This window comes from Homo sapiens, chromosome 19 (assembly GCF_000001405.40).
Source record: "Homo sapiens chromosome 19, GRCh38.p14 Primary Assembly".
In the NCBI taxonomy this organism is placed as follows: domain Eukaryota; kingdom Metazoa; phylum Chordata; class Mammalia; order Primates; family Hominidae; genus Homo; species Homo sapiens.
In genome coordinates, this window is record NC_000019.10 from 49512459 (window position 1) to 49526847 (window position 14389).

Below are 14389 nucleotides of genomic sequence, written 5' to 3' on the forward strand. Positions count from 1 at the left end.
ATCGAGTTCCTTTCCCAGTTTTGTCAAGAATTCCCTGAGCGGCAGACACCCTCAAAGTAAAAAACGGGAACCACAGAGAAGGAAAAAGAAGAACCACAAGCGTTTTGAGAAACAAACAGGCTGGGCCTAGGGCCTGGGGTGTGCCCTGCAACTGGGGGGTGGGGCTGGATGTTCTTGGAGTCAGGGAGCAGCAGCCTCCCACAGGATGTGAGAGAGGAACTGGGGTCTCCAGTCACGGGAGCCAGGAGCCGGCCAGGGCCGCAGGCAGGAAGGGAGCGAGGCTGAAGGGAACGTGAGCCGACCAGGGCCCGACTGAGGGAGGAGGGGCTGGGGGCCTGGAACCCTGGGTCTGAGGGAGGAGTGGCTGGGGGTCTCGACACTGGGTCTGAGGGAGGAGGGGTGGGGGCCTGGATTCCTGGGTCTGAGAGAGGAGGGACTGGGGGTCTGGACGCTGGGTCTGAGGGAGGAGGGAGGAGGGGCCGGGGGGGCCTGGACTCCTGGGTCCGAGGGAGGAGGGGTTGGGGGCCCGGACTCCTGGGTCCGAGGGTAGAGCGGTTGGGGGCCCGGACTCCTGGGTCCGAGGGTAGAGCGGTTGGGGGCCCGGACTCCTGGGTCCGAGGGAAGAGCGGTTGGGGGCCTGGACTCCGGGGTCTGAGGGAGGAGGGGCTGGGGCCTGAGGGGGGCGGAAGGGGCGTGGCGGAGCTCGGGGCCGGGACTCTCAGCCTATCAAGTGTCTGTAATTAATTAACCAACTGAGATCCAGTTCAGGGGTGAAAGTTCTTCAGGTACGAGGAGGGCATTGTTGTCAGTCTGGACCGAGCCCGCAGAGCCCCTCCTCGGCGTCCTGGTCCCGGCCGTGCCCGCGGTGTCCCGGGAGGAAGGGGCGGGCCGGGGGTCGGGAGGAGTCACGTGCCCCCTCCCGCCCCAGGTCGTCCTCTCAGCATGGGGGTCCCGCGGCCTCAGCCCTGGGCGCTGGGGCTCCTGCTCTTTCTCCTTCCTGGGAGCCTGGGCGCAGGTGAGGGCCGCTCCGGGCCAGGGCCCTGCTGCAGGCGGGCGGCGGGAGGCGGCCCCAGGCAGGCAGGGGCGAAGCCAGCGGGACCCGAGTTCCCCGCGAGCCCCTGGCGCTGCCTTCTCCGCTCAATTAACTTTCTCAACGTCTCCTGCTGGGCCTGAGGCTGGGAACCACCTGTCGCCTCTTGTGTCTGTTTCCCTCTCTCTCTCTGGGTCTCTGTCCCCCTCTCTTTCTGGGTCTCTTGTCTCTCTCTCTCTGGGTCTCTGTCCCCCCCCCCCCGGGTTTCTGTCCCCTCTCTCTGAATCTGTCCCCCTCCCTCCATAATAGATTCTTCTCCCTCCCTGGGTATCTGTCCCACTGCAGTCTAGTTCCCCGCCCGTGTGCTCCCTTCAGCTCTGTTTCTGTCTGCAGAAAGCCACCTCTCCCTCCTGTACCACCTTACCGCGGTGTCCTCGCCTGCCCCGGGGACTCCTGCCTTCTGGGTGTCCGGCTGGCTGGGCCCGCAGCAGTACCTGAGCTACAATAGCCTGCGGGGCGAGGCGGAGCCCTGTGGAGCTTGGGTCTGGGAAAACCAGGTGTCCTGGTATTGGGAGAAAGAGACCACAGATCTGAGGATCAAGGAGAAGCTCTTTCTGGAAGCTTTCAAAGCTTTGGGGGGAAAAGGTGAGATTCCGGTCTGGAGGGGCAAGGGGCCGGGTCCATGCTCCGGGGCCCCGCTTACCTGTGTTTGGGCGCCCCAGGTCCCTACACTCTGCAGGGCCTGCTGGGCTGTGAACTGGGCCCTGACAACACCTCGGTGCCCACCGCCAAGTTCGCCCTGAACGGCGAGGAGTTCATGAATTTCGACCTCAAGCAGGGCACCTGGGGTGGGGACTGGCCCGAGGCCCTGGCTATCAGTCAGCGGTGGCAGCAGCAGGACAAGGCGGCCAACAAGGAGCTCACCTTCCTGCTATTCTCCTGCCCGCACCGCCTGCGGGAGCACCTGGAGAGGGGCCGCGGAAACCTGGAGTGGAAGGGTGAGCCGGATCTGCAGCCGCAGGCTGTTCTGTCCTCTCTCCCGTCATGCCCACCTGCCTCAGTTCCCCTGCCAGGACCCTCCATCAGCCTCCCACTGCAGCCCACGCTCTGCCCCCCCATTCCTCAGGGGTCCTTCTACACTCAGCCCTCCCATGGCTCCCCAGCGCCCCCCAGGACAAACTCCTGGCTTCCTTCCTTGCCTTCTTTTTTTTTTTTTTTTTGTGAGACGGAGTTTCGCTCTTGTTGCCCAGGCTGGAGTGTAATGGCGCGATCTCGGCTCACCACAACCTCCGCCTCCCGGGTTCAAGTGATCTCCTGCCTCAGCCTCCCGAGTGGCTGGGATTACAGGCATGCACCACCATGCCCGGCTAATTTTGTATTTTTAGTAGAGACGGGGTTTCTTCATGTTGGTCAGGCTGGTCTCAAACCCCTGACCTCAGGTGATCCGCCCACCTCAGCCTCCCAAAGTGCTGGGATTACAGGCATGAGCTACTGCTCCTGGCTCCCCCCTTTTTTTTTTTTTTGAGACAGATTCTCGCTCTGTCACCCCAGGCTGGAATGTGGTGGCACCATCTCGGCTCACTGCAGCCTGAACCTCCCAGGCTCAAGCAGTCCTCCCACCTCAGCCAACCAAGTAGCTGGGACCACAGCCCAGCATCATCACACCTGGCTAACTTTATATTTTGTAGACACGGTGTCTCACTATGTTGCCCAGGCTGGTCTTGAACTCCTAGGCTCCAGCGATTCTCCTGCTTTGGTCTCCTGAGTAGCTGAGATTACAGGTGCATACCACCATAACTGGCTAATTTTTTTTTTTCCGCACAATCTCTGTTGCCCAGGCTAGTGTGAAGCAGGGTGATCTCAGCTCGCTGCAACCTCCGCCTCCTGGGTTTAAGGGATTCCGCTGCTTCAGCCTCATGAGTAGCTGGCACTATAGGCACATCCACCATGTCTGGCTAATTTTTATACTTTTAGTAGAGATGGGGTTTCGTCATGGTAGCTAGGCTGGTCTCAAACTCTTGACCTCAAGTGATCCACCCACCTCCGCCTCCCAAAGTGCTGGGATTACAGGAGTGAGCTACCGCGTCTGGCCATACCTGGCTAATTTTTAAAATTTGTTGTAGAGGTGGCATCTCACTATGCTGCCCAGGCCAGACTCAAACTCCTGGCCTCAAGTGATTCTCTCACTTTGGCCTCCCAGGGTGCTGGGATGACAGGTGTGAGCCACTGTGCTTGGCCTTCCTTGCCTTAATGTCCTCATCAGACCCACGCAGCAGCACTTGTCTCTACGCAGCCATCAGAGTCTACGCTCCAGCCACCCAACATAAGCAATCTCCTCCCTCTGGGCATTTGCTCATCCAGTTTCCCCTGGCACCTCTCTGTTCCACCCTTCCCCCTCTCTGCATATACTCCAGCCCTCCTTATTCTTCAAGGTCAGGGCTGGATATCACTTCCTCTGAGAAGCCTTTCCTCAGCTCTGTAGGGCAGAGTTCACTGTTTCCTCCCCGGAGGCCCCCAGATCCCCACTCATTCAACTGTTGGCCAAGAGCATTTGCACTGCCAGGCGCTGCTCTGGGCCTTGAGCAAAGAGGGAAGTGACACACATTCACCCTCTGTGGCTCCCAGGCTGCTGGACAAAGATAGATACCAGCTGGGGATGTGCACAGATATTCATTCCAAGTGCCACAAAGGAGAAGTTGAGACTCAACCAGGTAGTTTTTCTTTAATTGTCTTCTTTCTTTCCTAAGTAGGGAAAATTTCTTTCTTTTTTTGAGACAGAGTTTCGCTCTTGTCGCCCAGGCTGGAGTGCAATGGCGCGATCTCGGCTCACTGCAACCTCCGCCTCCCAGGTTCAAGTGATTCTCCTGCCTCAGCCTCCCGAGTAGCTGGGACTACAGGCGTGCACCACCACGCCTGGCTAATTTTTGTTTGTTTTTTTTTTTTTAGTAAAGACAGGGTTTTACCATGTTGGCCGGGATGGTCTCGATCTTTTGACCTCGTGATCTGCCTGCCTCGGCCTCCCAAAGTGCTGGAATTACAGACGTGAGCCACTGCTCCTGGCCTTTGTTGTTGTTGTTGTTGTTTTTGAGACAGACTCTTGCACTGTCGCCCAGACTGCAGTACTGTGGCGCAATCTTGGCTCACTGCAACCTCCGCCTCCCAGGTTCAAGCAATTCTCCTACCTCAGCCTCCCGAGTAGCTGGGATTACAGGCACACACCACCATGCCTGGCTAATTTTTGTATTTTTAGTAGAGACGGGGGCTTCACCATGCTGGCCAGGCTGGTCTCGAACTCCTGATCTCGTGATCTGCCTACCTTGGCCTCCCAAAGTGCTGGGATTACAGGCATGAGCCACCACTCCTGGCTTAAGGAGGGAAAGTTTCAAACCACACTTAAGTAGAAACAATAGTATAAAACGGACCAGACACGGTGGCTCACGCCTATAATCCCAGAACTTTGGGAGGCCGAGGCAGGTGGATTGCTTGATCCCAGGAGTTCAAGACCAGCCTGGGCAACATAGTAAGACCGCATCTCTACTAAAAACTCAAAAAATTAGCCTGGCATGGTGGTATGTGCCTCTAGTCCCAGCCACTGGGGAGGCTATGGCAGGAGGATCGCTTGAGCTCAGGAGTTTGAGGCTGTAGTGAACTGATTGCAACTCTGCACTCCAGCCCAGATGACAGAGCCAGACCCTGTCTCAAAAAGAAAAAAAATATGGTGGCCAGGTGCAGTGGCTCACGCCTGTAATTCCAACACTTTGGGAGGCCGAGGTGGGCAGATCACTTAAGGTCAGGAGTTTGAGATAAGCCTGGCCAACAGAGTGAAACCCCATCTCTACTAAACATACAAAAATTAGCCGGGTGCGGTGGTGGGTGCTTGTAATTCCAGCTATTCGGGAGGCTGAGGCAGGAGAATCACTTGATCCCGGGAAGCAGAGGTTGCAGTGAGCCGAGATCAAGCCACTGCACTCCAGCCTGGGCAACAAAGCAAGACTCTGTCTCAAAGAAAGAAGGAAAGAAAGAGAGAGGAGAGGGAGAGAGAAAGAGGAAGGAAAGGAAGGAAGGAAGGAAGGAAGCGAGCATCCCATCACTGAGACTTAATAATTATCAACCCATGGTTTTTTGAATTTCACGCACATCCTCACTCACTTCCCCACCCCACTTCACATCAAGCTTTGGTAAATCTCAGACATCACAGTGTTTTTTTCTTTGTTTGTTTGTATTTTGAGATGGAGTCTCACTCTGTCATGCGGGAGTGTAGTGGCTCAGTCTCGGCTCACTGCAAGCTTCGCCTCCCAGGTTCAAACAATTCTCCTGCCTCAGCCTCCTGAGTAGCTGGGATTACAGGTGCCCGCCACCTCGCCCAGCCAATTTTTGTATTTTTAGTAGAGATGAGGTTTCACCATATTGGCCAGGCTGGTCTTGAACTCCTGACCTCGTGATCCACCCACCTTGGCCTCCCAAAGTGCTGGGATTACAGGCATAAGCCACCGCGCCTGGCCAATTTTTGTATTTTTAGTAGAGACGGGATTTCACTATGTTGGCCAGGCTGGTCTCGAACCCTCCACCTCAAGTGATCTGCCCTCCTCAGCCTCCCAAAGTGCGGGAGTCACCGTGCCCAGCCAGACTGTTTTGTTGATAAGTCCTTTAGTATGTAACTCTACTAGGTAAGGGCATTTAAAAAAAATTAATACCAAAACCATCATCACACCTACAACCAATTAACTCTTTAATGGCATCAGATGTCCAGTTTTTGTTCCCATATTCCTGACTGTAAATGTTTTTTAAAGTTTGAATCAGCATCCAGCAAGGTCCACACATTTTGTTGTCTTTTCAGTGTCTTTTTCTGATTGTTGAATTTTTCTTTCTTTCTTTTTTTTTTTTTTTTTCCTTTTTGAGACAGGGTCTTGCTCTGTCACCAGACTGGAGTCCAGTGGTGCAATCATAGCTCACTGCAGTCTGAACTTCCTGGGCTCAAGTAATTCTCCCACTTCAGCCTCCCCAGTAGGTAGGACCACAGGTGCACGCCATCAGGCCTAGCTATTTTTGTTTGTTTGTTTTTTGAGACAAAGTCTTACTCTGTCGCCCAGACTGGAGTGCAGAGGCACGAACTCGGCTCACTGCAACTTCTGCCTCCCGGGTTCAAGCAATTCTCCTGCCTCAGCGTCCCAAGTAGCTGGGATTACAGGCGCAAGCCACCACGCCCTGCTAATTTTTTGTATCTTTAGTAGAGACAGAGTTTCACCATGTTGGCCAGGCTGGTTTCGAACTCCCGACCCCAGGTGATCCACCCACCTCGGCCTCCCAAAGTGCTGGGATTACAGGCGTGAGCCACCGCGCTCGGCCGTATTTTTGTTTTTTTCTTTTTTTTGGAGACGGAGTCTCGCTCTGTCACCCAGGCTGGGGTGCAGTGGCGCGATCTCAGCTCATTGCAACCTCCACCTCCCAAGTTGCACCAATTCTCCTGCCTCAGCCTCCCGAGTGGCTGGGACTACAGGCGCCCACCACCACGCCCGGCTAATTTTTTGTATTTTTAGTAGAGACAGAGTTTCACTGTGTTAGGCAGGATGGTCTCGATCTCCTGACCTCCTGATCCGCCTGCCTCAGCCTCCCAAAGTACTGGGATTACAGGCTTGAGCCACCGCGCCCGGCCGGATTCCAATTTTTTACCAGATAGGTGTTTTGCAAATATTTCTTCCACTCTCTAGGTTGTCTTTTCATTGTTTTAACTGTGCCTTTCACAAAGCAAAAGTTTTTAACTTTGATGAAATCCAGTTTATTCTTTTTTTTTTTTCTATCGTGGATTATGCTTTTGGTGTTTAATCTCAGAAGTAATCACCAAACCCAAAGTCAGCTAGATCTTCTCCTGTGTATTTTAAGAGTTTTAAAGTTTTGCATTTTACAGTTAGGTCTGTGATTCATTTTCAGGTAATTTGAGTTACTTGTGATCTTGAGTGTCTTTTGATTTACAGGTTTCCCATTTTCTTTTTGTTTTTTTTCCCCCTGTAATTGTGGTTTGAAGAAAGTCAGTTTATGTCCTATTGAGTTTCTCCTAGACTGGATTTTGCCCTTTGCATCCTGTGATGTTGCTGGAAATAGTCCTCCTTCTCTTCTTTAAAGGAGCAGCTCCATCTAGAAGCTTGGTCAGATTCTGGTTCAATTTTTATGGCAAGAAAACTTTCTGGGTAGTTGGTGCGTATGTCTGTGTGCATAGGCTGCAAACATCTGCTTGCTTCTGTGCTGTTCTGTGGACCACTGGATTCGGGTGTTGTTATGAAGTTCTTTGTCAGGTTTTCTCCTGATGGTTTTAGCGGATAGCAATGGCCATTGCCTTAATCTTTTTTTTTTTTTTTTTTTTTTGAGATGGAGTCTTGCTCTGTCGCCCAGGCTGGAGTGCAGTGTTGCGATCTTGGCTCACTGCAACCTCCGCCTCCCAGGTTCAAGCGATTCTGCTGCCTCAGCCTCCTGAGTAGCTGGGATTACAGGTGCGTGCCACCATGCCTGGCTAATTTTTGTATTTTTTTTGGAGAGATGGGGTTTCACTATGTTGGGCAGGCTGGTCTTGAACTCCTGACCTTGTGATCCACTTGCCTCGGCCTCCCAAAGTGCTGGGATTACAGGCGTGAGCCACCGCGCCCGGGCTTTTTTTTTTTTTTTTTTGAGAGGGCGTCTCCCTCTGTCACCAGGCTGGAGTGCAGTAGCACGATCTCGGCTCACTGCAACCTCCACCTCCCAGGTTCAAGTGATCCTCCTGCCTCAGCCTCCTTAGTAGCTGGAATTACAGGCACACACCACCACACCCAGCTAATTTTTGTATTTTTAGTACAGACAGGGTTTCACCATGTTGGCCAGGATGGATTTTTTTTTTTTTTTTGAGATGGAGTTTCACTCTTATTGCGCAGGCTGGAGTACAATGGCATGATCTCAGCTCACTGCAACCTCCGCCTCCTGGATTCAAGTGATCCTCCTGCCTCAGCCTCCAGGGTAGCTGGGACTACAGGCATGCGCTGCCATGCCTAGCTAATTTTTATATGTTTAGTAGAGATGGAGTTTCACCATGTTGGCGAAGCTGGTCTTGAACTCCTGACATCAGGTGATCTGCCTGCCTCAGCCTCCCAAAGTGCTGGGGTTACAGACGTGAGCCACCATGCCTGACCTGGTTTGGTATTTTGTTAAACAGAACCAAAGGCCAGACAGATTTTCTGTGCTTGGATTTAGTCTATATTGGAAGTACCTTGAGGCTGAAGGCACGTGGCTGTGAGCACGACACAGGAAGATACAGATTTGCTGAAAAGAATAGTGAACATAAAGCAGAAGCCAGAACTGCTGATGGCCGTCAGCCCGGTCCCTCCATTCCACCTGACGGTGCAGCAAATTCTGCCGACTTGCCAGAGAGGCAGCTCCAGGAGGGAGAAGCTGCTGTGCTTTCCTGAAGCAGCAAATGTGTTTTCTGCTGAGCAACCAAAACCAAGATCCCAGCCAAGACCCACGATTGCCCAGATCCACCCTCCCTGAAAGGAACTTGGGCAGTAATGCCCAGTCCTAGGCAGTTGCTGAAATCTTTGCCTTTTATTTTCTTTTTTGAGCTGGGATCTTGCTCTGTCGCCCAGACTGGAGTGGAGTGCAGTGGCACAGTCATAGCGCCATGTAGCCTTGGACTCCCAAGCTCAAGAGATCCTCCCGCCTCAGCCTTACAAGTAGCTGGGACTATAGGTACACGTCACCATGCCTGGCTAACATTTTCTATTTTTTGTAGAGATGGGGTATTTGTTGCCAAGGCTGGTCTAGAAGTCCTGGGCTTGGCCGGGCACAGTGACTCACGCCTGTAATCCCAGCACTTTGGGAGGCTGAGGCAGGCGGATCACGAGGTCAGGAGTTCAAGACCAGCCTGGCCAATATGGTGAAACCCTGTTTCTACTAAAAATAGAAAAATTAGCTGGGCGTGGTGGTGTGCGCCTGTAATCCCAGCTACTCTGGAGGCTGAGGCAGGAGAATCGCTTGACCCCAGGAGGCGGAGGTTGCAGTGACCCAAGATTGTGCCACTGTACTCCAGCCTGGGCGACAGAGACTCCGTCTCAAAAAAAAAAAAAAAAAAAGGAAAAGAAAGCCTGGGCGTAAGGATCCTTCTGCCTTGACCTCCCAAGTGCTGGAATTGCAGGCATGAGCCATTGCACCCGGCTTTTTTTTTTTTTTTTCTTTGAGACAGGCACTTGCACTGTTGCCTAGACTGGAGTGCAGTAGCGGGATTAGAGTTCACTGCAGCCTCAACCTCCCAAGCTCAAGCGATCCTCCCACCTTACCCTTCCTGAATGGATGGGGCCACAGGTGTGTACCATCACACGTAGTTAATTTTTAAACTTTTTCAGAGACGGGGTTTCTCCATGTTGCCCAGGCTGGTCTTGAACTCCCGGCTTCCAGTGATCCTCCTGCCTCAGCTTCCCAAAGTGCTGGGATTACAGGCATGAACCACTGCACCCAACCTTTTTTCATTCCCTTAACGAAACCTTTGGATGAACAAAAATTCTTAATTTCAGTGAAGTTCAGTTTATCGACTTCAATTTATACATTTTATAAAGTTTATGAATTTTTTTTTTTTTTTTTAGACGGAGTCTTGCTCTGTCGCCCAGGCTGGAGTGCAGTGGCTATACCCAGGTGTGATCATAACTCACTCCAGCCTCAAACTCCTGGGCTCAAGGATTCCTCCTGCCTCAGTCTCCAGAGTAGGTGGGACCACAGGCACATCCACCACACTGGCTAATTTTTTTTATTTGTAGTGGAGACTACGTCTTACTGTTTGCCCAGGCTGGTCTCCAACTCCTGGGTTCAAGTGATCCACCTCATTCTCCCAAAGCGCTGGGATTGTAGGAGTGAGCCACTGCACCCAGCCTGTCTGCTAATATTATGTTTAAGAGTTCTGAATCTTTTTTTAAATTTTTTAAAATTTTTAATTTTTTATTTTTTTTGAGACAGTCTTGCTCTGTCGCCCAGGCTGGAGTGCAATGGTGCAATCTTGGCTCAATGCAACCTCCGCCTTCTGGGTTCAAGCGATTCTCCTGCCTTAGCCTCCTGAGTAGCTGGGATTACAGGTACACGCCACCATGCCTGGCTAATTTTTTTGTATTTTTAGTAGAGATGGGATTTCACCATGTTGGTCAGGCTGGTCTCGACCTCCTGACCTCGTGATCCTCCTGCCTCCACCCCCCAAAGCGCCAGGATTCTAGGTGTGAGCCACCACACCTGTCCTGAATCTATATTTATGAGAGACATTGGCCTTAAGCTCTCTTTTTTTTTTTTTTTTTTTTTTTTTGAGATGGAGTCTCGCTCTGTCACCCAGGCTGGAGTGCAGTGGCGCAATCTCGGCTCACTGCAAGCTCCGCCTCCCGGGTTCACGCCATTCTCCTGCCTCAGCCTCCCAAGTGGCTGGGACTACAGGCGCCGGCCACCACGCCCGGCTAATTTTTTGTATTTTTAGTAGAGATGGGGTTTCACCGTGTTAGCCGGGATAGTCTCAATCTCCTGACCTCGTGATCCGCCTGCCTCGGCCTCCCAAAGTGCTGGGATTACAGGCGTGAGCCACCGCGCCTGGCCAAGTTCTCTTTCTTATAATGTGCTTTGTTGTCAAGATGATGCTGACCTCATAAAATATGCTGGGAGAGTGTTTCCTCTGTTTTATGGCCTGAAGAGTTAGTGTAGGAATAGAATCATTTCTACATTGGAAGAATTCACTAATTGATGTCTTCTGGACCTGGAATTTTAGTTTTTGGAAAGTTTTAAACTATGGATTAAAAATTTTAAATAGGCCGGGTGTGGTGCATCATGCCTGTAATCCCAGCACTTTGGGAGGCTGAGGCAGGTAGATCACAATGTCAGGAATTTGAGACCAGCCTGGCCAATATGGTGAAACACCGTCTCTACTAAAAATAAAAAAATTACCCGGCATGGTGGTGCATGCACCTGTAGTCCCAGCCACTCGGGAGGCTGTGGAAGAAGAAACTCTTGAACCCAGGAAGTGGGGGTTGCAGTGAGTCGAGATCGTGCCACTGCACTCCAGCCTGGGTGACAGAGCGAGACTCTTATCTCAAAAACAAAAGGCTAGGCGTGGTGGCTCACACCTGTAATCCCAACACTTTGGGAGGCCCAGGCGGATGGATCATGAGGTCAGGAGATTGAGACCATCCTGGCTAAGACGGTGAAACCCCGTCTCTACTAAAAATACAAAAAATTAGCCAAGTGTGGTGGTGGGCACCTATAGTCCCAGCTACTCAGGAGGCTGAGGCAGGAGAATGGCGTGAACCCAGGAGGCGGAGCTTGCAGTGAGCCGAGATCGCGCCACTGCACTCCAGCCTGGGAGACAGAGCAAGATTCCATCTCAAAAAAAAAAAAAAAATTTAAATAGTTATAGGACTACAGACGTTTTAAATTTCCTCTTGTGTCAGTTTAGAAGGTTGTATTTATCAGGAATGTGTTCAGTTCATCTAAATTTTCAAATGTGTTGCTGTGGAATTTTTCATAATTATCCTCTATCTTTTTTTTTTTTTCTTTTTTTCTGAGACGGGGTCTCACTCTGTCGCCCAGGCTGGAGTGCAGTGGCACGATCCTGGCTCACTGCAACATCTGCCTCCCAGGTTCAAGCAATTCTCCTGCCTCAGCCTCCTGAGTAGCTGGGACTACAGGTGCCCGGCTAATTTTTGTATTTTTAGTAGAGATGGGGTTTCACCATGTTGGCCAGTGTGGTCTCGAACTCCTGACCTCAGGTGATCCACCCACTTTGGCCTCCCAAAGTGTTGCGATTACAGGCGTGAGCCAACATGCCCAGCCCAAGGAGGTGACATCTTGAGGGGACACCTTCGGGGTGGACAGGTTGAGTCTCTGTCACCTAGGAAGTGCCTCCCCTTTTACCACTGTATTATCTGCGGTTAGCACAGTGCAAACATGGAGGCCTCTTTCTGTCCCTATCCAGCCCTGGCTCTGGGAGTGGTGGGCTCGCGACTTAGGCCTGTCTGCCTGATTTCCTGCAGAGCCCCCCTCCATGCGCCTGAAGGCCCGACCCAGCAGCCCTGGCTTTTCCGTGCTTACCTGCAGCGCCTTCTCCTTCTACCCTCCGGAGCTGCAACTTCGGTTCCTGCGGAATGGGCTGGCCGCTGGCACCGGCCAGGGTGACTTCGGCCCCAACAGTGACGGATCCTTCCACGCCTCGTCGTCACTAACAGTCAAAAGTGGCGATGAGCACCACTACTGCTGCATTGTGCAGCACGCGGGGCTGGCGCAGCCCCTCAGGGTGGAGCTGGGTGAGGTCCCGCCAGGTGGTGATGCTCCTGGTTTCCCGTTGCCTTGTCTCACTGCTGCGCCGGTCCTTCCTGAGTCTGACCTTCCTCCCCACTGCTGCCACCTCCTTGAATCTGACTGCCTTGAACCTCACGCCTGTCAGTGCCCCCAAAACCTGATGGCTTGTCCTTCCCAAGGCCAACTGCCTTCCGTCTCCTGCTGCTTCTGGCCTCACTGAGTCTGAAGAGCTGTTAACTACCATGGCCAGTCCTCCCTGAGTCTGACCATCTTCCATCCTGCTGCTGCTGCTGCTGCTGCTGCGGGTCTTCCTGGAATCTGACCATTCGTTGTCTGCTATGCCCGTCCTCACCAAGACTGACTGCCTGCTGCTTTGCTACTGCCCGGGCCCATGAGACTGACTTCCCACTGCTCTGCCTGCCTCTCCCCACTGCACTGGCACAGCCCCGCCTTGCCGCTGCTGATCCATTGCCGGTGTGACCGCGGCCGCTCGTGCTGTAGCTGGTTCTTACGTCCAACCTGGGGGCAGTCTGCCCAGATCGCCTGCCTGGCCTCGCCTCTGCCCATCAGACACTTGGTGCTGGAATCTCCGAGGCTGGGAGGGACTGGGAGCGCCCCAGTTCTGTGTCCTGACTGGGTGGGGTGGAGGGGCTGCTCCACATCTCACAGCGTTCTCTGGCTGCAGAATCTCCAGCCAAGTCCTCCGTGCTCGTGGTGGGAATCGTCATCGGTGTCTTGCTACTCACGGCAGCGGCTGTAGGAGGAGCTCTGTTGTGGAGAAGGATGAGGAGTGGGCTGCCAGGTGGGGGGCAGCGGGAGGAAGAGCCTCTGAGAGAGGGACAGAGACCCCAAGAGAGGGGCACACAGACCTGGGAGGACAGAGACCCAGAGAGGGGGGACAGAGATCAGAGAGAGGTGGAGACAGAAACCCAGAGATGGGAGAACAGAGGTGCAGAGAGAGGGGGACGGAGACAGAGACCCAGAGACGGGGGAACAGAGACCCAGAGGGGACAGAGAGAGGTGCGGACAGAGGGAGGGGGAGACAGACCCAGAGGAGGGAGGCAAAGATGTAGAAAGAGGGGGGACGGAAAATTGGGAGAAGGGGAGACAAAGGCCCAGAAGGAAGGGGATAGAGACTGAGGAAGAGTGTGTGAGACACACACACAAATGGGGGACGCCAGTCAGACCCAGAGCGCCTCAGAGATTCTGATGACCTCTCCCTCTCTCTCTCTCCTCAGCCCCTTGGATCTCCCTTCGTGGAGACGACACCGGGGTCCTCCTGCCCACCCCAGGGGAGGCCCAGGATGCTGATTTGAAGGATGTAAATGTGATTCCAGCCACCGCCTGACCATCCGCCATTCCGACTGCTAAAAGCGAATGTAGTCAGGCCCCTTTCATGCTGTGAGACCTCCTGGAACACTGGCATCTCTGAGCCTCCAGAAGGGGTTCTGGGCCTAGTTGTCCTCCCTCTGGAGCCCCGTCCTGTGGTCTGCCTCAGTTTCCCCTCCTAATACATATGGCTGTTTTCCACCTCGATAATATAACACGAGTTTGGGCCCGAATCAGTGTGTTCTCATCATTTTTCAGGCAGGGGAGGTAAGGGAATAAGTCGGGGGACTGAATGGCGGCTGGGCCTCGGATCTCTCCTACAGGTAACATGCTGCCACAGGGGAACCTGCCAGTTTTATACATCAGGTCATGTATTTTCTTTTTCTTTTTCTTTTTTCTTTTTTTTTAGACGGAGTCTTGCTCTGTTGCTCAGTCCGGAGTCCTGTGGCGCGATCTCGGCTCACTGTAAGCTCCGCCTCCCTGGGTTCACGCCATTCTCCTGCCTCAGGCTCCCGAGTAGCTGGGACTACAGGCGCCTGCCACCATGCCTGGCTAATTTTTTGTATTTTTAGTACAGACGGGGTTTCACCATGTTAGCCAGGATGGTCTCGATCTCCTGACCTCATGATCCACCCGCCTCTGCCTCCCAAAGGGGTGGGATTACAAGTGTGAGCCACCGCGCCCGGCCTAAGGTCACTTTTTTTTTTTTTTTTTAAGACAGAGTTTTGCTCTTGTTGCTCAGACTGG

At 53.1% G+C, this 14389-nt stretch overlaps 1 protein-coding gene across 7 annotated transcripts, besides 1 other annotated feature; it reads left to right on the top strand.

Annotated features, from left to right (window-relative positions):
- Positions 1-202: 202 nt before the first annotated feature.
- FCGRT (Fc gamma receptor and transporter) lies at positions 203-13970 on the top strand. Of its 7 annotated transcripts, none has more exons than NM_001136019.3 (7): positions 203-292; positions 929-1015; positions 1424-1675; positions 1753-2028; positions 12049-12318; positions 12999-13115; positions 13552-13970. In NM_001136019.3, exons 2-7 carry the CDS (start codon positions 943-945, stop codon positions 13659-13661), a joined length of 1098 nt encoding a protein of 365 aa, NP_001129491.1. In that variant the 5' UTR covers positions 203-292; positions 929-942; the 3' UTR covers positions 13662-13970. The 7 variants fall into 7 exon arrangements, with proteins under 7 accessions (NP_001129491.1, XP_047294364.1, XP_047294367.1 ...); XM_047438408.1 differs by lacking the exons at positions 12999-13115; positions 13552-13970 and adding exons at positions 3656-3741; positions 9237-9355; XM_047438411.1 differs by lacking the exon at positions 929-1015.
- Positions 1713-2426: an enhancer, noted in NCBI's record as "H3K27ac-H3K4me1 hESC enhancer chr19:50017428-50018141 (GRCh37/hg19 assembly coordinates)". NCBI's record gives its function as "activates a minimal SCP1, AML or CMV promoter by ChIP-STARR-seq in naive H9 embryonic stem cells {active_cell/tissue: H9 hESC(naive)}" and the evidence as "EXISTENCE:reporter gene assay evidence [ECO:0000049][PMID:30033119]".
- Positions 13971-14389: the final 419 nt, after the last annotated feature.